Here is a 25,056-nt window from a genome sequence, read left to right on the forward strand (position 1 = left end):
AAGAGTACTTTTTTTCATTATTCTTTAGTTAGTGTGACAGAGATAATAAAGTGTTTTTACCAAGCTTGTCTAACCCTCGGCCTGCAGGCTGTGTGTGGTCCAGGACGGCTTTGAATGCAGCCCAGCACAAACTCACAAACTTTCTTAAAACATCATGAGATTTTTTTGCAGTTTTTCTTCTTTAGTTCATTAGCTGTCATTAGTGTTAGTGTACCACTGCTCAAAGAAATAAGAGACAACGCAAACAAATGGAAAGAAATTCCATGCTCATGGATAGGAAGAATCAATATTGTGAAAATGGCCTACTTCCCAAAGTAATTTATAGATTCAGTACTATTCCCATCAAGCTACCATTGACTTTCTGTTCAGAATTAGAAAAAACTACCTTAAATTTCATATGGAACCATAAAAGAGCCCATATAGCCAAGACAATCCTAAGCAAAAGCAAAGCTGGAGACATTACGCTACTTGACTTCAAACTATACTGCAAGGCTATAGTAACCAAAACAACATGGTACTGGTACCAAAACAGATATATAGACCAATAGAACAGAACAGAGACCTCAGAAATAATACCACACATCTACAATCATCTGATTTTCGACAAACCTGACAAAAACAAGCAATGAGGAAAGGATTCCCTATTTAATAAATGGTGCTGGGAAAACTGGCTAGGCATATGCAGAAAACAGAAACTGGACCCCTTCCTTACACCTTATACAAAAATTAACTCAAGATGGATTAAAGACTTAAATGTAAAAACCCAAAACCCTAGAAGAAAAACCCTAGAAGAAAATCTAGGCAATACCATTCAGGACATAGGCATGGGCAAAGACTTCATGTCTAAAACACCAAAAGCAAGGGCAACAAAAGCCAAAATTGACAAATCGGATCTAATCGAACTAAAGAGCTTCTGCACAGCAAAAGAAACTATCAGCAGAGGGAACAGAAAACCTATAGAATGGGGAAAATTTTTGCAATCTATCCATCTGACAAAGGTCTAATATCCAGAATCTACAAGGAACTTAAGCAAATTTACAAGAAAAAAACAACCCCATCAAAAAGTGGGCAAAGGATACGAACAGATGCTTCTCAAAAGAAGACTTTTTTTCAAAAAATATGGAACGCTTCACGAATTTGCGTGTCATCCTTGCGCAGGGGCCATGCTAATCTTCTCTGTATCGTTCCAATTTTAGTATATGTGCTGCTGAAGCGAGCACAAAAGAAGACATTTATGTGGCCAACAAACGTATGAAAAAAGCTCATCATCACTGGTCATTAAAGAAATGCAAATCAAAACCACAATGAGATACCATCTCACGCCAGTCAGAATGGAGATTATTAAAAAGTCAGGAAACAACAGATGCTGGCAAGGCTCTGAAGAAATAGGAATGCTTTTACACTGTTGGTGGGAGTGTAAATTAGTTCAACCATTGTGGAAGACAGTGTGGCGATTCCACAGGGATCTAGAACCAGAAATACCATTTGACCCAGCTGTCCCATTACTGGGTATATATCCAAAGGATTTATAAATCATTCTACTGTAAAGACACATGCACACACGTATGTTTATTGCAGCACTATTTACAATAGCAAAGACTTGGAATCAACCCAAATGCCCATCAATGATAGACTGGATAAAGAAAATGTGGCACATACACACCATGGAATACTATGCAGCCATAAAAATGAATGAGTTTATGTCCTTTGCAGGGACATGGATGAAGCTGGAAGCCATCATTCTTAGCAAGCTAACACAGGAACAGAAAACCAAACACCGCATGTTCTCACTTATAAGTGGGAGTTGAACAATGAGAACATGTGGACACAGGGAGGGGAACATCACACACTGGGGCCTTTCGGGTGGTGGAGGTGGGAACGGGAGGGAGAGCATTAGGACAAATACCTAATGCATGTGGGGCTTAAAACCTAGATGACAGGTTGATAGGTGCAGCAAACCACCATAGCACATGTATACCTATGTAACAAACCTGCACGTTCTGCACAAGTATCCCAGAACTTAAAGTAAAATAATAATAATAATAATAAAGCCAGTCTAACTGGGTGAAAAAAAGTAAAGATGTGTTTTCTTCTATATATATTTTATCTGTGTACTAATAATAAAACCAGACTTACTTTTATGTCTCTTCAGTCTCAAAATATTTAAAAAGAAGCTCTTTTTTCACTGGTTAACATTAGGAAGAAGGTGAACAACTATGACAGTTTTCTTGGCTTGTGAATTTTTGGAGTGTCTGAAATCAATCTTTTAAAATTATATTGTTGTTGAAGACAGCAGTGTTTTATGCTGAATTACACAGAGATAATGTATTTTTATGGACACATTTGGCAGCTTGTTATGCCTGTGCAATGCATAACCTCTCAAAACAACTTCTTTTCCTCTCTCCATCTCTTAAAAAAAAAAAATTAGTGTGAGTGTATTTTATGTGTGGCCCAAGGCAATTCTTCTTCCAATGTGGCCTGGGGAAGCCAAAAGATTGGGCACCCCTGGTCTTTACCATATAGAGACTTCTGCATTAACAAGTAAGCCACTAAGATTCCTGTGGATGTGGTGACTTTGTGGCTTTTTAAATTTTGTCTGATGGAAGGATTATTTTACTAATGCATAAGCCGGTGAAGCTGGCTGGAGGGCCCCTGCAATACCATCTCCTCATTTATATGTATACACACACACTTGCAAGCTACACCAGAGTTAAGAGGACACAAGTATGTCAGATTAAAAATCCATCTGATTTTCTTTTCAAGTCTAATAAGATTTGTCGGTAAGAAGAGAGAATAATTAATGAATGTTTTATAGGTCTAGTGCCATAATTCTCTGCAAGGTGTAGGTACATGATTTTCTGTCCGTCCGGATTTATGTTTATTCCAGAATCTTCTTTCATAGTTTTTCCTTGGAAATGGTCTGGACATGTAACTGAAGTAGAAACACTGTTGCAGCAGTGTCTGACTTGCCACTTTTCCTTTTCTGTCATTCTATGATTAGGAGTCTCCAAGAGCTTTTAGATTACCCCGGGGAGGATGTGGAGGAGACTTTCTGCCTCAACTTCACGGTAAGAATTTCCACAGTTTACTTAGGATTGTGGCTGTCTCTCTTACCATCTTTAGAGTGATATTTAACATTAGTTCTTCTTCAAATCATAGAAAAAAGTCAGAGACTTCTTTGAATCAAATTATTTTAGTCATAGTGTCTTGAGTGTTATAGGGGTTCAGTGGGCGTGTTGAATAAATGAATGAATGATTAATCTGTTATTTATTGCATTTATTGGCAACTCCATGTCCTAAAACAAAAGATGTTTTTTAACCTGCTAATGTTTTCTGACTCAAGTTCTGATTATTCTCCCACTAATTTTCTGTAATAGTCATGAAACTACATTTGTTCCTAAAGCCTCTCTCAGTCATTTGAGTTCTAGAAAGATGAATGGTTAACAAAATTGAAATATTTCTTTTTTCCACCTTAAATATAGATCTGCCGAGAAAGCTATGGAGTGATTGAACAGAAGAAGCTGATACCTGGGGGAGATAATGTAACTGTGTGCAAGGATAACAGGTTAGTCCTGACCTTGGACTGTTGCAGATACTGCTACTTCATATTTCTGCAGTTTTACATTTAAGACCAAAATAAAAATTACTTTTTAATATTAATACCTTCTTCAGAGGAGGTAAGTAAGGGTGATAGGGCAATAATTTACAGATTTTAAATAATTTTTAAAGCAGAGCAAGCACCCGGCCTAGATTCAGGAGATGACTGTTTTAGTTCTAGAGCTGCATCTTTTTGGCTTTGACTCTGAGCAAGTTACGTAAACTGGTTTCAGTTTTCTCATCTGCCAAATGGGGATTATAATCACTGTGCTCTCTACTTCATGGGATGGTTGTGAGAATGAAATGAGATAATTCACAGGAAAATACTTTGGAATGAATGGACTCCCAGCATCTAGCACAGAGTTTCTAGTATCTAACAGAGTGCCTGGCACAAAAATACTCAAAAAATATGTGTTGAAGAAATGAATTTTATAAAGGTGCTTACTATCACTGCTATTTTACTGCTGATTGATTTGTCATAGAGTCTGGATCATAACAACAAATTCAAGTACATTTGATTTTTCAGGATGATTCATAATCTCTGAGTTAACTCTTTAGAGGAGAGAAGATACTCAATTTTGCTTACTTTTATATTAAATTATGCTAATCTGCATGAAATCAATTTACTTTACAAACACTGAGTGCCCACTGTGTGCCAGCCATAGTGCTGGGTATAGAGGGTGAATAACTTCTATCCTTAGAAGCTTTGGGATTAGTTGAGAAGGGTCAATGTATGGAATAATTGCAATAGAATCCAGTGTATGTGATAGAAGTTGTAGCCCAGGTGCCACGGTACTAGGGTAAGAGGCTACAACACTTTTATCAGACACTAAAGAATGCAAGTTGGAGGAAACATTTTAGGCACCAGATGAGTTGGGACTCTGCAGTTTGACACATGATAGAGAATGTTGGGTACTTGTGGAGTGGGTACTGGTGTACGGATGAAGGGAGACTATAGTAGCATCAGAGTGGAGGTTATCAAGGCCTTGAACGGCGCTTGGAGTAGAACATGATTGGTTTCTATTTTAGAAAGATTACTTTGGGGGTCCTGTGGAAATAGACCGTGTGCAGGGATACCCATTAGGAGGCTTTTGAGGTAGCTCAGGTAAAGGATGTTAACAGCCAGAATGAAGGCAGTGGGAAACAGAGTTGGTTATATAACCAAATAGGAGCTAGTGTCTGATTATATATGGATGGTATGAGAGAGTTATATATTGATAATAATGCTGAGGTTTCTAATTCAAACACTAATAGGAAACAGAGTCTATAAAGCAGGTTCAAGGGAAAGTTCCATTTTGAATATATTGATTTTGATATGTCTTTGTGATACCCAGGTGATTGTGTTTAGAGCAGAAAATTTATATATCTCAATAAAGAAGTCTTATATGAATATTTTTTAATTAGTTATGTGAGCCTCAATCACTATTAAATTTGAGGTCGCTTACAGCAAGAATCAACAAGAAAGAAGTGGTGAAATGAAAAACAAGAGCAAGGAAAACGTAATTTCTTAGAGGAGCTATATAAGTTAGAATAAAATGCAGACTCTTGAGGATTTGAGCATAATTTGCACATAGGCTAGCATTGAAACTTCCTGGCTTAAGGAAAGAGCGGGTAGGGGGTGGGAAAGGTGAGAGAATGACAGTCTTTCTTTGGAAGCCTTTAGAGAGGAAAGCAAGGTTTCATTTAAGCTATGAAAAAAGATACAGATGTGGAGAAACTAGATGCTGTTTGTACGCATGCAGGAAAATTAAGTAAAACTCACTCTGGACTTTTATTGGCTTCTTCCTCTAAATAGTTGGGAAGATGCAATTGGAGATCCTATTAAATTCACTCTATCCAAGTGATCTATCTTGATTTTCTTTCATAATCTTTCCTTTTGAAAATAGGAATGGGCTGGATGCAGTGGCTCATGCCTGTAATTCCAGAACTTTGGGAGGCCAAGGTGGGTGAATTGCTTGAGCTCAGAAGTTCAAGACCAGCGTGGGCAAGATAGCAAAACCAAGTCTCTACAAAAAAGTAAAAAAAAAAAAAAAAAATTAGCCAGGTGTGTGGCAGTGCACATCTGTAGTTCCAGCTACTCAGGAGGCTAAGGTGGGAGGATCACTTGAGCTTGGAAAGTGGAGGCTGTAGTAAGCCATGATCATGCCTCTGCACTCCAGCCTGGACAACAAAGCAAGACCTCATCTCCCCCCGCCCCCGCCAAAAAAAAAAAAAAAATATTGACAGACTTCTTCTTCCATCCTTGACTACTTTTTTTTTTTTTCGAGACAGAGTCTCACTCTGTCTCCAAGGCTGGAGTGCAGTGGTGCAATCTCGGCTCACTGCAACCTTCACCTCCTGGGTTCAAGTGATTCTTCTGCCTCGGCCTCCCGCATAACTAGGATTACAGGCGTGTACCACCATGCCTGGCTAATTTTTGTATTTTTAGTAGAGATGGGGTTTTGCCATGTTGGCCAGACTGGTCTCGAACTCCTGACCTGAGCTGATCTGCCCGCCTCGGCCTCCCAAAGTGCTGGGATTACAGGCATGAGCCACCGCTCCTGGCCCATCCTTGACATTTTAACAAACGACTCGAAGCTAGTATGATCTCATACATCATTCATTAACCATTTTTTTTTTGTCATGTTAACCTTCCAGACTATCCAAGAAGCCTCAGCTTTGGGGAAAGTGAGCTATAGTATCAGAGTTGAGTGAAATGATGCAGAAGCCACCCAGACACCCAACAAAACTGGCTTCAGTTGATGGAATTATCTTGGCTCTAGAAACCTAATATAGAGGCTAGTCTTGATTCAAGTAAGAATGTTGCAATCAAAACCCTTGATAAGAATCTCTTGGGGCTAAAAGCAGTTTCCTTTATATAACATTGGTACTTTTGTTAACAGTAAATAATTTATCTTCAGGATGTTTATTTCCTTAATAAGACCAGGCTTTTTATTCCATATAGTCAGATAATGTTTTTAGAATTGGGAAATTTATGGCAGATCATAAAGCAGATTTGTTAGCCCAGCTGATTTCCCTTCCCTCCTGGTTTTGGGGATTGCTTTATAACATTGTAGATGCGTGTGAGTACGTATGTAGATACATACGTAACCTTTAGTCTTTCAAACAATGTCTTAGCTTTTGCATTAAGTTTCAGACAAGATAATGTGTGCATCATTTGTTAGAAGCTAACAATGGGATAGGCAAGCATCCTGAGGAAGGGGAACATTCAGAGTGTCCTCATCCTCTGCTGAGTCATCATAGTGCTCTGTGAGTATGATACAGTGGCTGGGGAAATGAATGACCTAGTGCAGGAATAGGCAATTGGCAATGTAGTCTGCAATTGAGGCAGTGGCCAGAACTGCCTTATTACTCCTTTTCATATCTTTGTCAAGTTATTTCTCTTAGCATATTTTTTGTCTCTGTCTTTTTTGTTCTCTTTCTGAGTCTGAATTTTTCTCCCTTTCTGTTTCTCCATTTCTCTCTCCCTGTCACTCTCACTGTCTTTCTCCTTATTCAACAGACATTTCTTTGAATCAACAATTGAATTGACTCAACAGTTGTGGGAGAAACTGCAGGAATAGTAAAATATAACACAGTTTGTTTAGGGTGATAAGCTGTATCCAGATGCAACCATAAATGGAATATGAAGACTAAATTGGGTGGTTGAATCTGAAGGCGTTCAGAGAAGTCAGCTTGGACAGATGCATCTGGGAGGACAGATATGGGATAGAGCTAAGTTTGGAAGCCTACTAAGATTTGGATACTAGAAAGTAGAGAAGAGGATATAAACATGAAAGGTGCTCTGTAAAGGGATGGAAAAATCTGAGTTGTCGTTTCAGACAGAAATTTTGATTGCATTTTACTGTGTTCAAGATGTACAGAACAGCTTCTGTACTAGGTAGAAATTTAGATTTCGGTTTTTCAGAGTACTCATTGAATACACTGTGAACTCATCCATGCTACTTTAGGCACTGATGTATATGTCTGTGTCACTCAGTGACAGGCAGGAGACCCTGTTGCTGTCACAGTTACCTGTTTGTCTTTGGGCTGCTGTAAAAAAGTACGATAAACTGGATGGCTTATAAACAACACAAATGTATTTGTCATGTTCTGGAGGCCGGAAGTCCAAGATTAGGCTGCCAGCATGGTTAGGTTCTGGCGAGGGCCTTCTTCCACGTTGCAGACTGCTGACTTCTCGTTGTATCCTAGCATGGTGGAGAGCAGCGTTGGGAAGCAAGCTCTCATGACTCTTATAAGGACACCAGTCCCATTCATGGTTACTGCTGTACTCTTTACTATAGCTGTTTTGGTTAGGGACCACCAGAAAAAGACATGAATGAATTTTTTTTTCTTTTCATTTTATGCTGCACAAAATAGAAATCTTACCAACAAAGTACATTGAGGTCCTGGTAAGAAAGGCTGTATGAAGTTGTAAAAGATTGATCATTATAGTCATTATTTCCTTGGCTATATGCCATAATGTAGTCATTAGCAGTCCTAAATTATATGACTAAGAAAATGAAATAGCTGTAAGAAGAATACCTACTGGCCTTTTAACTTAGGCAGTTGTATACACAGATACTTCTGGCATTGAGGCTGTTTTTGTTAACAGTAAGATATTTGCTGGCATTGCTGCCCCAGGGGAAAATGCCAGAGGAATACCAATTCTGTATTCATAATTTATTCCATTTCATTTGGTTTTAAAATGCTTTCTATCCTTGGACAGAACCTACACAGTCAAATGAGTTGTAGGCATCCAGGTAAAAGAACATCTGTGGCTGATTACTGGTGGCTGCATCATAGACAAATCTTGCCACCAGCTGGTAGTCACATCTGGATAATACTATATCACATGACTACTCATGGTTAAGCATTTCTTATGGTCTATAATATGGTGTTAATTACCATTAGTGAAAAACCCATATGTCATTCTAGATTCCCTAAAATTTACCTTAATTTGATGCAATCAAATTAAATGCAATTGCTGTCTTCCCATTTTCCCCATATTAAAAAAGAAACAGATGACACACACATGGGGCTGGGGGGTGGGGCAGTGGGGGGCAGAGAGTAGAGTAAAGAGATCACATAGTAAGAAATGCCAAACTTAAGGTAAGTGCTTCAAAGGGCATCTAGATTCCGTAGTGAGAACCTGAGAATAAAACTCATGCATGACAAACACTTCTTGCTCCTTAAGATCTACTTCAGGACCGCTGGCAGACTTCAGTTGATCTTTCAGGATAGTTTCTGAGGGATGCAGTCTTTAAGATCTGCATTGTATTTGCACTGGACTATTACAGGAACTGCAGAATTAAAATGCCAGTAACACTTCTTGAGTGCTTACCATGCATCAGACACTATTTGAAATATTTTACATGTAAGACTCCCCATTTACTGAGGAGGAAACTGAGGCACAGACAGGCATAAGTCTCTTGTTCAACGTTACACAGCTAGAAGTCCAGGATTCTAAACCAGAGCCAGGATTCAAAGCCAGGTGGTTTGAGTTAGACTGCGCTCCATGGGTACCAGCATATGGCCTCTCAGGGGCTAAGGCTGGGGCTCAAGAGTTCCCATCCTCCTTTCGCCCTAGGAAGAAAAATGACTTTGAAGACTTTGCTGTTTTTCGTTTCAGGCTGACTAGGTAATGTTTTCAAAAAGCAAAATTGTAATAGTTAAAAACATAACTAATATACATATGGAATGGAATGTCTGAATTTTTAAACTTAGGTGAAGACAATGCTTATATTTAAAATGCTATTTCAGAGTACTCATGAATGCCCTTAATAGTGACTGCCATGGTTTGCTATGTGAATGTGTATTTTTCTGTTTCTTCACTGTTGAATATTTGGCTTGTTTGTATGTTCTTTTTTATTCCTCTTTTTTCTCTTCCCCCCCACCACCATTTTTAATAAGACTATATCAAGTATCTTTTGTGTATAAAGGATTTTGTGCCTTTAAATTTGCTTTTTAATGATAAGGTCTCAGGGGTGAAATGGAATTAAAATGTATAACATTTGAATTTGTTGGTAGATATTTTTGATAAATTGATTTTGCTAATGAATTATACTCCCTTATATGTCATTATCACCATTTCATCCAGTCCTTAGAAACATGGTGTGTATTCTTTAAAAAAAAAGTTGCATTTCTTTCACACATAGGCTACTTTACATAGTCTACACAGTATTGATCTATTTTACTGCTGTTTACCTCTAAAATATTTGTTTAAAAAATGAATTAACTAGAAGGTGGTGGTTGCACAGCATTATGAATGTACAAAACGCCACTGAATTGTTCCCTTTAAAATGGTTAATTTTATGTTATGCAAATTTCACCTCAATAAAGTGTGTACATGTGTGTATATGTGTAAATGTGTCTATGTGTATGCATTGAGTGTACATTCTCAGGCAGAGAGAGCTGCCATGCCATTTTTCACAGTAAGCATCGGCATGCCAGTTTTCTGCGTAATACTCAGAGAGTTGGTTGAGTGTGTATTGCATGCTTCCTTTCTTTCTGCCAGTTATTTTGTGCTTTGTTGACTAATTTTGGCCTATAATAGGTTAAAATGGTTTATGAATGATAGTGTTTGACCTACCTTGAAGCAAGGGTATCCTGTTAGATGTTAACATGCAGGTTTTAGGGTTGCCAGAGAAACTATCAAATAAGCAGTCCAGGAAACAATATAAAGATTAGCCCAGTTAGGAAGTGGCAGAAATCGCTTGACGTCACAAACATCCCTGTATCCTTAGAGAAGTGGCCAACAATTCTCTAAGCTAGAAAACCCCACAGCTAAAATCTTATCATAAACAAAAGAAAGATTGCTGGCCAGAGCACATAGCTAGGAACACTTGTCTCTAGACCCTGCCAGAGCCCCGGCTCACCTAGTGCTGCAGGTTCAGGAACACGCAGCATTAGGTGAGTTCTTTCTGCCTCAGGCAGGGTTTGCAGTCTTTCCTCTTTTTAGAGACTCTGCTGATGTCCTTTATGTATTTCTCTAGTAGGACTTAATAATTTTCATATGATTCATAGGAACTCTTCATTATGTTTATGACTATTAACCCTTTGCCATCCATATTTATTGTAGGTTTTATCCTCTGTTTTTGGTTTTGAAAATGTAGAGTGTGTCTTTAACTCTGTGATTTCTTAATTTTTGTGTTGTCATGTGTGTTATTTCTTTTGGTCTTATACCACTCTAATCCTAGCCATTCCCTGTCCAGTAATTGATATTTAATATATTTTCTTCAGTTAGTCTGTAGTCTGAGGTAAAAATCTAAACTGTTTCCAAATTGCTAAAGGTTTTCTTAGCTGTTCTTAAGGTGAACATTATGGTAATTATATTAGGTTCCAGATCCAGTTTGAGTTTTGATTAGAATTGTGATAAAAGTTAATTTGGGAAGAACTGACGTTTTTGTGATATTCAGTCTTACTATCCAAAGGCTTATGTTATGTTTGTTTTTTATTTTTACATAGGTCATACACATTTCTTATTAGAGGTTTTATAAATGTTTTGATTTCTTATTTTTACTCTGAGAGCCTTTCACATATATTTTGATCATTATTAGTGCCTATAAATGGTTATTGGTTTTTGTGTATTTATCTGATAACTGGTCAGTTCATCAAACTTATTAAATTGAATTGTTTTCCAGTTGATTCTCTTGGGTTTTCTATATGTAAAAAACATTTCCCAATACTTATGCCTCTTAGTTGTGTTTCAATCGTTTTTGCTTTTTACTGGAACCAGAAAAATAGTAAAATGATAGTCTCTCTCATTCCTGGATATAAGAAATCAATATTAAATTTTATTAGATTTTTTCTCTATTAAGATAATCATATGATTAAGATAATCAGAACTTTGTATGTAACGTATTATTCTGATTTTCTCTTTTGGTTGGCCTGAGCATAATGAAGATTAACTTTACCTTAAGGTTGTTTGTACTCAACAATCTGTTGTGATTAGCAACAGGTCAGTGCTGCCTTCCATTCCCTAGGATAAAGCAATATAATTTTGCTTCTTTGTAATTTTAACCCTTCAGGGAAAAGGAAGCAAATGGCATCTGATTTTTTAATTTTTCTGGAGTCCAGTTTTTAAAAAAAACTTTCTGCTTCATTCAGAATGAAGCAAACATAAAGTTGAAATAGCCTTTTTTATCCTTTCTGGGAGATGATAAAAACCTGATATTATATTGAGGAAACCAAAACAAGATAGTTTATTTAATTTCCTGCATTTCTGAATTAAAGGCCACATTCTTCTCTCATAATAAGGAATCAAAAACATAGGGAGGGATGTAGTGATGTCTCTTTCTCCCATTTTGTAACAGGAGAGGAGGATTGAATTTCCAATCACTGTCTTTATCTTTCATGTAATAATAATAGCTAAGAATTATTCAGCACTTACCATGGTTTGGATGCTATTCTATAGGATTTATATGTATTAATCCATTTGCTCTTCATAGTAACCCATGAGGAAGGGACTATTCCTATTCCCTTTTGTAGATGAGGAGAAACTGGCCACTGAGAGTATTAGCTGAGTTGCCTAAGGTACATTACTAATAGGAGGCAGAGCTGGGATTTGAATGCAGGCAGTCACAGTACCGAGTCTTTTATATATATTTTTTGAAAATACTGTTTTATTAACACCACAGTGATAAACAACTTTAAGCTTATGTTTCTTTATAGATCACTGGCTCACACATAATTCAAAACCCACACAGAAGCTAAGAGTCTTTACATTAAATATATTCTTCCTAAAAATCCTTACTGTATGCATCTGTCCTCAAGCAGTAAAATTTGATTATGCACCATTTTATAATTAATATGTCACATTTACATAGCAAAATAATGAAGGCACAGCTAATACAAGCAAACTTAAACCCTTTCTACTTCTGAGCTGGGGGTAGGGGCACACACTTGGATTGGTTCTTCAAGTATATATTTTTTCCAAACATTAGCTTCAGTGAAGAGTTCTGATGATTTTCACAGCTACACCCTAAAAGCTACATGACAGAAAGACGTCACAAGGCGCAAAGTACATAACGCTGGATACACATGCTTTACATAATTTGCTACATTCTACATCTCTTCAAGTAAATTAATATTTCTAAAACGCTAGGTAAAGTGATTTAATACTTAAACATATTTGGGGTATTTTTTACGTGTTTGTAAATAGACAGTACTAAGAAAACACAAACATGAGATTGTAACTAATGAATACATATGTTGACAGTATTTTACAGGTTTTACACCCTCCTTCTTGGAACCATGTTGTTTCTCTAAATTCAAATACTCAAAACATTTTTCAGAACTTGAAATGGCAGTTTTCCTGGCCTTATTAACAGTAGTGTCATGATCTCCATTGCAATCTTCCTCAATGCCATCAATCTCCTGTGAAGTGTAAAGCTGATGTCTGCGTTACAAAAGCAAAGTCTCAAAGATGACGTTTTTCTTGGGTTCTGCCTTCTCTGCACTGCGAAATGTCATGAGTAAAGAAATTTAAGAATTAAGCACTGAGAACGTGTTCAGTCATGGCTTGGGTGTTCCATGTGTAGCGTATGCTGTGTGATGAATGGGTTTCAAAGTGACGTTCTTTACTTCGCATCTGCTAACACCCTTTGTAAACCTCAATCCTCAGAGAAGAGACCATGAAAACATAATTTTGGGTTTAATTCAGTTTTCTTTAACACCTTTTGATATATTTATTATGTTCAAAATGAAAGTCAAATTTGAATCGAGCTGGCCAGGATCTAATTGCTTTAATTTAATCTATTTTAGGAATGTCAGAATAAATTCACATTGTATTTTGGTCAAAAACCTGAGCCTTTTTAAGTCCATCGATATTCTGGGAAAAACAAAACCAGGCTTTTTTCTTCGTGGGCTTTCTCTTCATCCATCTCTGCCCCCCTTACTTCTTGGCGTCATCAGGCATCTCGGCGTGGGCATCGTCATGTTTGGCCCCCGCGGCAGCCTCTGCCGCAGCCTCCTCCTCCTCCTCGTCTTCCCCCTCCTCCTCGTCATCCTCGTACTCCTCTTCCTCCTCCTCCTCCCCCTCCAAGGTCCATGCACACCCCTCCATCTCGCCGGTGAGCTCTTGGATCTTGGCGAGTAGGGGCTTATAGATGTCATTATACTTTTTTTCCAGAGCCTGAAATTCCTTATCAAATTTGGCTTCTATCTTATCGCATCGCTTCTGCAGCTTTTTGAGGGCCAGGACTCGGCATTTCACCGAATTAGGCAGGCTCTCGATAAAGTCATTTTTCGGCTTTGGGGCATTCTCTGCAGGGGTCTGGGGCTCCTCAGCCATCTGACCAGCCGCGCTGTCAGGGTCACCAGCCGCGCTGTCACAGTCTCCACCCTGCGCACCGCCTTCCGCCATTACCTCCTCTGCCGCTGCCTCCGCCGCTGCCGCCGCCTGGCTAGGCTCCGCAGGCCCCTGGTTTTCCGAGTCGGCCATGTTAGAGGAGAAGCCGCAGAGGTCTAGGAGGGCTCCCGCAGAGGCCCTGCACCCGAGCTGGTCCAGAGAGATCTTGCGGATGCGGCAAGTGGCGGTGACGTGCGGCCGCGGGAATGACGTTGGCCGCGGCCCCGCCTCCTGCTTTCGCGGCACTTGACTGGCTTCCCACTATCAGCTGACGGCCGTGTGCTCATACTGCACCAGATTCCTCCTGTTGCTACCCTGACATCTTCTGGGCCCTCAACACCCGCCTGTTGGACAGACACCCTGTTCCCAGCCCACCCATGTACCCACCCCTGTAGAGCTGGGCTGGGAGTGTCAGTAGCTGCCCGAGGTGCTTCTTCAGGAACTGCATAGATGGCCTCAGACCATTTTCCGTGTGCTCCTCACCCCCATCCAGGCCCTTCTACAAATGCCAGTGCATATGTCTTCGCTTTCCTCTGCATCTCTCTCCATAGCTGGCGTTTGATCACCTCTTAGATTCCTCCGCATTCCTCTCCATGCAGTGGAGGAACGGGCAAGCTGGCTCCATTCCACCCCTTTGGGGACCTGGGGTGCATGTGTGTGGATAGGGCAGCTTGCATATCCAAGCTCTGTACCTATGTGTCCACCCAACACCCCCTTGGCCATCCCACACACCTAGCGGCATATATCTTGGTGGCAAGGTCGTCTCTCAGCAGGACTCCCCTGGAAGCAGTTTTGGAGCCATTTGGGTAGGAAATCTCAGAGCTCCCGGTGTCCTGGTGTGTGTTCTAGAAGATCCTACAGAATCTTTGGCCTGTGGGAAGGACTAAAGCTTGAGGAGGGCTGAAAAAAAGCAAGTCTTTCTAAAGCATGGGGCCCAGGGCCAAGGCCCCCTCTTATCTTGGTTAAAGCATGTGCCATCTATCCCACCCCGCTCACATTCGTCTTCCCTGCCTTCCCCCAACACCGTCTGCTTCCCTGCCTTCCCCACTATCTGTTTTCACACCTTTCCACACCACATCTTCTCCCTCCCTCCTGCCCCTCCCCCGCACTGACTTATGCCCCACCTTCTGCCCATCTTCTTCCCCGCCTTCTTCCCCACTCACTGCCTCCTTCCTCACCTTCCCCCCGCCGCACTGTCCTTTTCCCCACCTTCCTCACCCTCTTCTTCCCCACCCTCCTTACCCTCTTCTTCCCCACCTTCCTCACCCTCCTCACCCCCTTCTTCCTCACCCACTGCCTTCTTCCTCACCTTCCCCCCACCGAACTTTTTCCTCACGCTCCTCACCCTCTTCTTCCTCACCCTCTTCACCCTCTTCTTCCTCACGCTCCTCACCCTCTTCTTCCTCACCCTCTTCACCCTCTTCTTCCTCACGCTCCTCACCCTCTTCTTCCTCACCCTCTTCACCCTCTTCTTCCTCACGCTCCTCACCCTCTTCTTCCTCACCCTCTTCACCCTCTTCTTCCTCACGCTCCTCACCCTCTTCTTCCTCACCCTCTTCACCCTCTTCTTCCCCACCCCCTAGCCCCACCCTCTTCCCACCCACCCCCAGCCCCGCCTTCTTCTTCCCCACCCACCCACCCAGCCCCACCCTCTTCCTCCCCACCCACCCACGCAGCCCCACCCTCTTCTTCCCCACCCTGCCCACCATCTTCTTCCCCACGATCTGTCTTCTTCCCCACCTTCCCCCACGGTCTTCACCACCTTCCCCCAACCGTCTTCTTTACCCTGCTCACCATCTTCTTACTGGCTCACCATCTTCTCTGCCTTCTTTCTCACTCCCATATATCATCTCTTTTGATGGCTACAGCTGCCTTGAGATTAGGAATGATGTTTCTCATTTTACAGATAGTAAACTTAGAAGCAAATACAGTGAAATCATCTTACTGCATGTATCACTTAATTGGCAGATGCAGGGGCAGAAAACAGGCCTTTTGACCCCTATAGTATGGATGTTGTGACAGACTTTAAAAAAAAAATCCCACATTTTGGTTAAATTCATTTGACTAACTTAACTTGCTTAAAATATTTAGGGCATGTTCATCTTTCAAGATTTTTATTTTCCTGTCTCAACAGATCTTAAAACTTAGTGTTAAACCAGACTGTTTTTTAAAAAGTCTGGCTTATTGAGGTATCATTTACATAACAGTAAAATTTGTCCTTTTGGGCGTGCTTTCACAAGCAAATACAGTAATGTAAGCACTGTAGTAATCAAGATATAGAACAGTAAATAGTCCCCTAAAAGTCCGTTGTGGCCCTTCCCCAGCATCCAGCCCTGGTGAGCACTGTGCTGTTCTCTGTCTCAGTACCTCTGTTTTTTCCAGAATGTCAGGTAAATTGAATCATATGAATGTAGCCATTTGAGCCTGGCTTTTTTTTTTTACTAGCAGAGTACATTTGAGATTGATTTATGTTGTTGTATATATTAGTAAATTTATTTTTTATTATTTTTTATTTTACTTTTTATTATTGGGTAGTATTCCCATTTGTGGTGTTTGCAGTTTTTCATAATTGTGAATAATGCTGTGATCATTCATCTACAGGTTTCTCTATGAGCATGGACTTTTATTTCTCTTGGGTAGACACCTAGCAGTGGGATTGCTGGGTCATACAGTAAATGTACGCTTAACTTCATAAGAAGCTGCCACACTGTTTCCCAAAGTGGCTTTAATCTGTTTAGTGTTGCTAAAAAGGAAGACCGGAGGCTGCTAGCTAAAAGGTTCAAGATTGGGCATGTAGATGGTGAGAGTCTCAGGCTGCTTCCTGAGACTGTTGAGCTATTTCTACCAATAGTCCCTTAAGTGAAATCTAGGTTTTTCTATCAAGCTCCTCAAAACTCTTTCAGGCTCTACCTATTTCCTCATTTCAAAGGCACATCTGCGTTTTTAGGTATTTGCTGTTGTAGTACTGTACTTCTTAGTACCGAAATCTATATGTCAGTGTTCTCCAGAGAAACAGAACCAACAGGGTGTGAAGCCGAGGGGGGTGGGGGCAAGGAGGGATTTATTTTAAAGAATTGGTTCATGTGATTGTGGGGGCTGTCAAACCCGAAATCTGCAGGGTAGGCTGTAAGGCTAGAAATTCTGGCAATAGTTAATATTTAAATCTTGAGTCCAAAGACAGTCTGGAGGGAGAATTCTTTCCTCTTTGGAGGACCTCAAGTCTTTTTCTCTTAAGGCCTTCAGCTGATTGGATATGGCCTACCCACATTATGGAGGGTAACCTGCTTTACTCAAAGTCAATGAATTTAAATGTTCATCCCAACTAAAAAAATATCTTAACAACATCCAGACTGGTGTTTGACCAAACAACTGGATGCCATAGCCTAGCCAAGTTGACCTATAAAATTAACCATCACAGTCTGTAATAAAAATTGTTGTGATGGTGTTTCTCTTGGGTAATTGTATCAGAAAAATGTCATTAGTTTAGTGTCATGGGTTTCAGAGAAGTGAGGTGTTATATACGGTGTGAGAAACTTTCAGCATCAATGATTAACATGCACAATAATCTTTTTACATTAGTGGCTTTATTTTAAAGATTGCACAGTTATACCATTTTAAAAATGGGAAAAGGGAGGCTTACTAGTTAGATACAGAAGATGGCAGAGCCTGGATTTGAACCCCTGTCTGCCTCACTTATCCACTGTATTACACCATTTGTTGGCTAGTTATTGGTGTGGATGGTGAACATGTAAAAACTATCTGCTTGGAGGAAACCCAATAATTCAAATGTAGCTTTATGAAGTATTAAATTACAGTGATGGATAAGTAGTAAATAACTATCTTCATGATGTGAAGTTTTAAAATTGTTTTTAATCTAAAATACAAAAAGTTAATGTGACAAACATTTGTATATATGATCCACAGTCAACAGGTATTTGCTTCAGATTTTTTAATAAAAGAAAAAAATTACTGATACCGCTGTACATACCCTTAATTCCAAATTACTGATACTGTTGTACATACCCTTAATTCCATTCCCCTCTTCCCGCCCTTCTTTCTTACACAGACAAAACTCTTATGAATTTGATATGTTTTTTTTATGTTTTTATACTTTTTATAATAAACATGTATGTTAAAACAGATTTTTTTTTTTTTTTTTGAGATAGGGTCTTGCTTTGTCACCCGGGCTGAAGTACAGTGGCGTGATCATGGCTCACTGCAGCCTTGACCTCCTGGGCTCAGGTGATTCTCCCACCTCAGCCTTCTGAGCAGCTGGGACTACAGGCATGCACCACCAGGCCTGGCTAATTTTTTGTGGAGACTGGGTCTTGCCATGTTGCCCAGGCTGGTTTTGAATTCTGGGCTGAAGCCATCTGCCTGCCTCAGCCTCCCAAAGTGCTGGGATTATAGGCATGAGCCACTGCACCTGGCTAGACAAAGATCTTTTTACATTAATGTCTTTGTTTTTAAAAATGAACACTTACACATCTTATGTATGCATCATATTTATAATTTCATACTCATAAGCAAAATCTCATATCCATAAACAATATGATAATACTAGTTAATACTTACAAAGTAATTGTTATACACCAGCCTTGGTTTAAGCACTCTTACATGTATTCACTCATTTAATCCTAAAGCAGTCCCATGTGTTATCTACTCTTACTCTCCCCCATTTTACAAATGAGGACACAGGCATGGAGAAGTTAAATAACTTGCCCAAGGGTCACAAGCTCTGAGTGACAGAGCTACTACCTTTTATAAGTAGCATTGTTTTAAGTGTTAAAACACAACTTACATAAATGCCATCATATTTTACTGAACATGCAAATACTTGATTTTCACTCAGCATTGTTCTTGAGATTCTATTCATTTTGCTAAGTTTAGATCTAGTTAATTCCATCAAAGTGCTCTGCTTTATGGTTTCCATCATATGACTCTACCATCTTTTCCTTGTCCATGTTCATATTAATGGATGTTTAGTGTTGTTTCTCTAAATTCTCTATATTGCAAGAAAATGCTGCAGTAAACTTGCCTGCACTCATCTTCTTGTGCACACATGTTAGCGTCTCTGCATTACCTACCCGCTAGCACAGTGGCATGGTCAAGGGTATTTACATTTTCAACTTATCTAGATATTGACAGAATTTCCCCCCAAAATGTTTATGTCTAGGTTCACAGTTTATATTTCCACTTGTGAGAGACTGAATATTCCTATGGACAATGGCCAGGCCATATATAAATAAACATGGAGCTGAGACCCACAATCTGCAGCAACCTGCCCGGGAAACCAACCTCTTATCTGCAATAAGCAGCCCAGGAAGCCAGCCTGCTATAAGTCAGACTTGCAGGCAGCCTGATTGCCATCTGTCTCGATAACTTCTGTAACAGTGGGCCCAAATAGGCCAGGATGTGATTAATAATCAGCAGCTTCCCTAATTTTTGTTCCTACTTCCAACTTAGGGCCAACCAGAGAAAGCCAAATACACACCCTTAACCAGTCACATAGGATGCCCCACTTCTAGTTAGCCCACCTGCAGCTTCCCCAGACTAGCAGCCTCCAATCAGAGTGTACCTGAAGCCTTCCCTCTTTCCACTGTAAAGCTTTTCCACTCCTCTGCTTGATTTTGAGTCTCTGCCACAACACAAGTGACAGTGGCTGACTCTCTTGCTATAGCAGCTCTGAAAAAATAGCCTTTGCTCTTCTCATTTGGTTGATCTTTATATATTTCCATGGTTGCGATATGGTTCCCATCATTTCAGTTTATCTTCCTACCAACTGCCTATGAGGTTTCTGTTTTCCCCACACCTTCACCATATTGATATAATCTCATTTTTAAACTTAGGCCAGTCTGATGAGTGCAAATGACAATTCACTCGTCTTCATTTGCATTTGCCTGATTATTAGTGAGATGGAGCCTTTATTTGAGATGGTTCTTCCCAGAGGTAAAGGTTTTATAAACAAGGAGTTATAAAATGAACCTTTTAAAACAGGTGAGGATACAAGTATCAAGTGGTTTAGCTTTATTTGTTTCTGAGGAAAATGGCCTAGAACTGTTATCCTAGACTTTTTATTTTAAGCAGAAAAGGTCTTATTATTTTTTCCACACTAAATTTTAAGCAGGGCTTTTAACATGAAAACTGGAATACCTCAGGTAAAGCCAGTAGTTTAGTTCTATATACCTGGCCTGCTGCCCTTCCTATCTGGCTTATCCTGCCTTGGATCACCTGAGGCACTTGGTGGAATGTTAGGGCTGGGGATGGAGAGGGAGGAGAGGAGAGCTGGTAACCTATATGATGCCTTAGGATGCCTCCTGATTTGAGAATTTGATGAAATTCTATTTTTTATCACTCCCAATCTCAGTGTAGAAGGGTAACTTCATAAGCTTTACAAGACTTTGAGCTAAATGTATTTTCTTTTGTGTTCTGGCAGGCAGGAATTTGTGGATGCTTATGTGAATTATGTCTTCCAAATCTCAGTTCATGAATGGTACACAGCCTTCTCTAGTGGCTTCCTAAAGGTGTGTGGTGGCAAAGTACTTGAGCTCTTCCAGCCTTCAGAACTGAGGGCTATGATGGTGGGGAACAGCAACTACAACTGGGAAGAACTGGAAGAGGTAAGCACAAAAGATCCTTTAACTCCTTTAACTCCGGCGAAGCAGCAGCAGCCTGGGGAGGTGTTCCCAGAGCCTGGTCTCGTTCCAAGCATACTGTGGTTGAGTTAGATTTAGAGGTGTCCTGTATCTCAGCACTTATTTCTTAGCCTCAAATGCAAATGATATATAATGTCCACTATAATATTCTTCCAAGATACATTTTTTTCTTTTTCTCTTTTTTGGACAGACTGCCATCTACAAGGGAGATTACTCGGCCACACATCCCACTGTAAAACTATTTTGGGAAACATTTCATGAGTTTCCATTGGAAAAGAAGAAGAAGTTTCTCTGTAAGTATCAGTAATCTCAATATGGTATTTGTCTACATTTTAGTCTTACATACAGTATAGGATGACATGCTCCACAGCTGAGGCTTAACTCATTTAAATGGTAAAGACCAGGTAATTCACTATATGTATGCTTTTTGTCTTAATGTTATCTCAGGCACAATATAGGTTGTTAATCCAGATCTGTTGCCTAACAAGAGGGGTTGCATGAAAGGAAGAAAAGAAGCATCTCACTGATTTTTCTTTTCTTTCTTTCTTTTTTTTTTTTTTTGAGACAGAGTCTTACTCTGCTGCCCAGGCTGGAGTGCAGTGGCGTGATCTCAGCTCACTGCAACCTCCGCCTCCTGGATTCAAGTGATTCTCATGCCTCAGCCTCCCAAGTAGCTAGGACTACAGGCACCTGCCACCATGCCCGGCAGATTTTTATATTTTTAGTAGAGATGGGCTTTCACCATGTTGCCCAGACTGGTCCTCGTCTTGAACTCCTGACCTCAAGTGATCCGCCTGTTTTGGCCTCCCAAAATGCTGGGATTACAGGTGTGAGCCACCACGCCTGGCCTGATTTTTAAATTATTCTAAAAATACCAATTATTTTATATGTAAGTTATTCAAGTATTCCATTTATGAAGTCAAATTGTTTGGATTAACCTCTCTTATCTCTCTAGCCTTTAAAATATATTACAAAGTATCCAGATGGAACTGGGAAGGTGTGATTTATAGCAGCTTTATTGGGCTATAATTTATATACCATACTCATTTAAAGTGTATATTTCAGTATACACACAGTTGTGAAACTAACACACAGTCAATTGTAGAATACATTCATAACCTCAAAAAAGAAACCCCATACCTATTAGCAGTCATTCTCCATTTCTTCCCAGCTCCCCCACCAGTCTTTCTGTCTCTATGGATTTGCCTATTCTGGATATTTCATGCAAATTGAATCATATAATATGTAGACCTTTGTGGCTGGCTGAATGACATTTGAGAAGGGTAATAATACCTTTGGAAAGGAGAATGAATTCTAATTTACATGAACAAATTCAGCCTTTTAAAAATGGTTGAAATATTTCTCAGTTTGTGTCTGTGTGTAATCAGCGTCAGAAATTAGCTAGTGCATAGTATGGAATTTTAGTCATGTAAAATCAAAGCACAGGGTTTGATAGGCAGTCTATTTTGCTTTATAAGATGGAGCATATATTAGTATTAATGTAGGACTTAACAGGTTCTGCTGCTCACATGGGAGCAAGGATGAGAGGAAGTGGAGATCTTACACAAGAATTCTTAAAAAGAGGGACCACTTCTCCTCTGCCTGGCTGCATTGGCTATTGAGAAGCAGTAGTGGAAGAGCTGAATGACAGGTTAAGGTTTGCCAAGTGAGCTTGTAGGGCTGTGACATTCAAGAGATGCCTGCTCATGGTCCTGGAATTTCCCTAGAAAATGGCACTTTCTGTTCATTAGACTTACAGAAATGTTTGTTAACTCTGGAGATTTTTGGCAAGAAACTTTATGTATCACAGCCTCAGGGAATGGCAGGTTATTTGAAAGTGCTTCTTAACTAATGATTTTCTTATAGTAATTTCCAGCAATTCAACTATGAGAGTGTTGTTCAGCACTAGAAAACAAGGAGCTGTCTTTCTCTGTCTGTCTCCCTCTCTCTCTTTTGCCAAGTCACAGTGCATGTCACAAGAGTGCAATGTCTAACATAATGTTTGGGTCAGCTCTTCGGGTTTAAGAAAAATGGAGACGTGGAAAGGAGAGCAAATAGATCCTAAATGGAATTCCGTAGACAAGGTGGTACAGGCATCAGGCACTTGAGGTGAGAGGAGACCCTGAGGTCAGAGACTTCAGTCTTCTTCTGTTTTCCCCTTAAGATCAGCTCCTCTTTTCCTATGACAGCAATTCCTTCCCTCTTTGATTTTGTGAAATCTAACATTTGTGAGGGTGTACATTTGATTGAGGCCTTTTTTTTTTCTTAACGGCATCTAATTTTCATTCCACAGGATGCATATTGGCACATAAATGTAATTGTACTTCTCATGCAAGCCACAGGGTGTCATGCCTTCCTCTCCTGTTGCCAGAAGGATCTCTGAGATCCATTTTCCGTTTGCTTAGCTGCTAATGCCATTTCTCGTTCTCCCCAGTGTTCCTGACAGGCAGCGATCGGATTCCCATCTACGGCATGGCCAGTCTGCAGATTGTCATCCAGTCCACAGCCAGCGGGGAGGAGTACTTGCCGGTGGCCCACACTTGCTACAACCTTCTTGACCTCCCCAAGTACAGCAGCAAAGAGATTCTGAGTGCCCGGCTGACCCAGGCCCTTGACAACTATGAAGGGTTTAGTTTGGCCTGAGGCTTCTCAGCTTGTCCAGTATTTCCCTTCGTTCCTCAGTGTCCACATTGAGGCCTATACAGAAAATCATGGGGAGTGATTTCTATTTTTTTATTGTCTAAGTGGGTTGGGACTTTTAAATACTGAGCCTGGTTGATGTGTTTCTGGGATTGTATAGCAGTAAACAACCTTTTTGAAAAATTAGAGGTTGGGGATGGGGTGAAAAATTGGCCCTTGTATGGGAGGTGTTTTTGTTTTTGTTTTAAACCAAACTACCCAGTATTCCTTGCACTTGTGAATGTGTTGCACTCTGCTGGATGAAATGGCAGTGGATTTTTAAACTTTAATTTCCCAAATGTCTCTCTCAGCCCTGATGTTTTCTCACAGTGCTTCCTTGTCCTTCTCTTAACTTCTCATTCCTCTATAAGAATGATTTAGACTGACCTGTCCTTTTTTATCTGCGCATGCGAGAACATCACCTTCCTCTGTACACTTGGAAATGCCTCTGGCTTGTTGCAGCCCTCCTTTAACCCAAAGGAGGAAAGGACTGCTTCAGAAACTCCCAATTCCAAAAAGCTGAGTCTGGGTCCATTATTTTGGCAGAACTCCTAAGAATTTATGGGAGCCTATATAAACATATCTTGCTTTTAAAAAGTTCTTGAGGGAATAGCAACTTTCCCATGGCTGTGCCTATTTCCTAGACCTTTTAAAAGATGTGCAGAGCAGCTTAGCATTCGTTGCAGCTGAGCCTAATTTTTTCTTGCTCATCCTTGTCCCTTTGACAATAAGGTTAATTGATAGACCCACCACCTCTTGCACTCTCGCTTTTGGAGCAAGTTGCATTAACTATTTTGAGTCTCTATATTGTCCAAGAAAAGTAGAAATAATAAATTTACTTTCCCTTTTTCTATCACCTTATGTCCTCTACCATTTTCTCCTTCCTCCCTTCCCTTATTTTCTCCTTTTCGTACCCTGTGTCCTCCCTGATTTTCCTTTCGTTTCTTCTTTATTTTATCCCATTCTCTGTTACTTGACTCAGTGCTCCCTTCCTCTCCTCTCCTTCTAGTGGATGCATGCAGCCTTTTTTTCAATTTTTATTTAAATTGCAAAATTTTTACTCAGATTTTTTTTCCTCTTCCCTAATTGCTAAGATTTAAGGACGTTCTTTATTATGAAACTTTATCACATTCGAAATGTTTGTTTACAGTGGGATTTTAGGGGGGATTGTGTTTAAATCAAATATATGTATTTTAAAAATAATGACATGCTCAACCTTCCTCATCATGGAGTAAGAAAATTCTACATGATTAAAGAATCCATGTAAGTCTAATTTTAAATTCCTAGTAACTAGAGAAAAGACTTATTTATATAAAATGAAGTATTTATGAACTGTGATAAAGCATCAAATCTTGATGAAGGATTGTAGATTTTTGCTTTTTCTTTTTGTTTTTAAAACTTATTCCAATTGCTAAATTGGTAGTTTTTCAGTCTTTATAAATACAGGATTAAAAATATATATACAGTTATATGAAATGTTTATTTTCTATGTGTGTGCATATAGTTCAATATTATGCAATAAATTTGGTGTTTTAACTTAAAACTATTTCTTATTGTACTTGCAGAATGGATAGCTTGCTTTTAGTAGAAGCATTAGGTCGTATACTCAGATAATCTAATAGAAGGTCAGATTTGATTCCTGCATAAGAAAGTAGAGCCAAGTGCTGCAGAAATGGAGAAGAAAGCAGGGGCAAGGAGCAGATGGCATTAAGGAAGAATGAAGTTTTTGAAGGTTGGGATGGACGAAAAGGTGTTTCTCATGGAGAGGGATGCTTTAGCAAAGGCTCAAACATT

General features: G+C 39.8%; 2 protein-coding genes and 1 pseudogene across 10 annotated transcripts in view, besides 1 other annotated feature; 1 reads left to right on the forward strand and 2 right to left on the reverse strand.

Annotated features, from left to right (window-relative positions):
- The window catches only part of HERC3 (HECT and RLD domain containing E3 ubiquitin protein ligase 3), a 184,697-nt gene extending 159,892 nt beyond the window's left edge, over window positions 1–24,805 (forward strand). For all 9 annotated transcript variants that reach the window (NM_001375483.1, NM_001375482.1, NM_001375479.1 and 6 more), the window contains 5 exons: window positions 3,002–3,068; window positions 3,483–3,565; window positions 20,364–20,547; window positions 20,774–20,876; window positions 23,018–24,805. In NM_001375483.1, the coding sequence (NP_001362412.1) occupies window positions 3,002–3,068; window positions 3,483–3,565; window positions 20,364–20,547; window positions 20,774–20,876; window positions 23,018–23,226 (646 nt within the window). In that variant the 3' untranslated portion in view covers window positions 23,227–24,805. The remainder of the gene's footprint in view (window positions 1–3,001; window positions 3,069–3,482; window positions 3,566–20,363; window positions 20,548–20,773; window positions 20,877–23,017) is intronic.
- Window positions 1,114–1,220, reverse strand: RNU6-33P (RNA, U6 small nuclear 33, pseudogene; annotated as a pseudogene).
- On the reverse strand, window positions 12,179–14,095 carry NAP1L5 (nucleosome assembly protein 1 like 5). The gene has a single exon (NM_153757.4). It carries the CDS (start codon window positions 14,018–14,020, stop codon window positions 13,472–13,474), a length of 549 nt encoding a protein of 182 aa, NP_715638.1. The 5' UTR covers window positions 14,021–14,095; the 3' UTR covers window positions 12,179–13,471.
- Window positions 14,185–14,244: an enhancer, noted in NCBI's record as "active region_21717". NCBI's record gives its function as "activates an Ori minimal core promoter by ATAC-STARR-seq in GM12878 lymphoblastoid cells {active_cell/tissue: GM12878}" and the evidence as "EXISTENCE:reporter gene assay evidence [ECO:0000049][PMID:35858748]".
- Window positions 24,806–25,056: the final 251 nt, after the last annotated feature.

Source organism: Homo sapiens, chromosome 4, assembly GCF_000001405.40.
Source record: "Homo sapiens chromosome 4, GRCh38.p14 Primary Assembly".
Lineage (NCBI taxonomy): Eukaryota > Metazoa > Chordata > Mammalia > Primates > Hominidae > Homo > Homo sapiens.

Coding starts and splice junctions, on each gene's coding strand:
- NAP1L5 (NM_153757.4), bottom strand. CDS start 14,020: ATGGCCGACTCGGAAAACCAGGGGCCTGCGGAGCCTAGCCAGGCGGCG.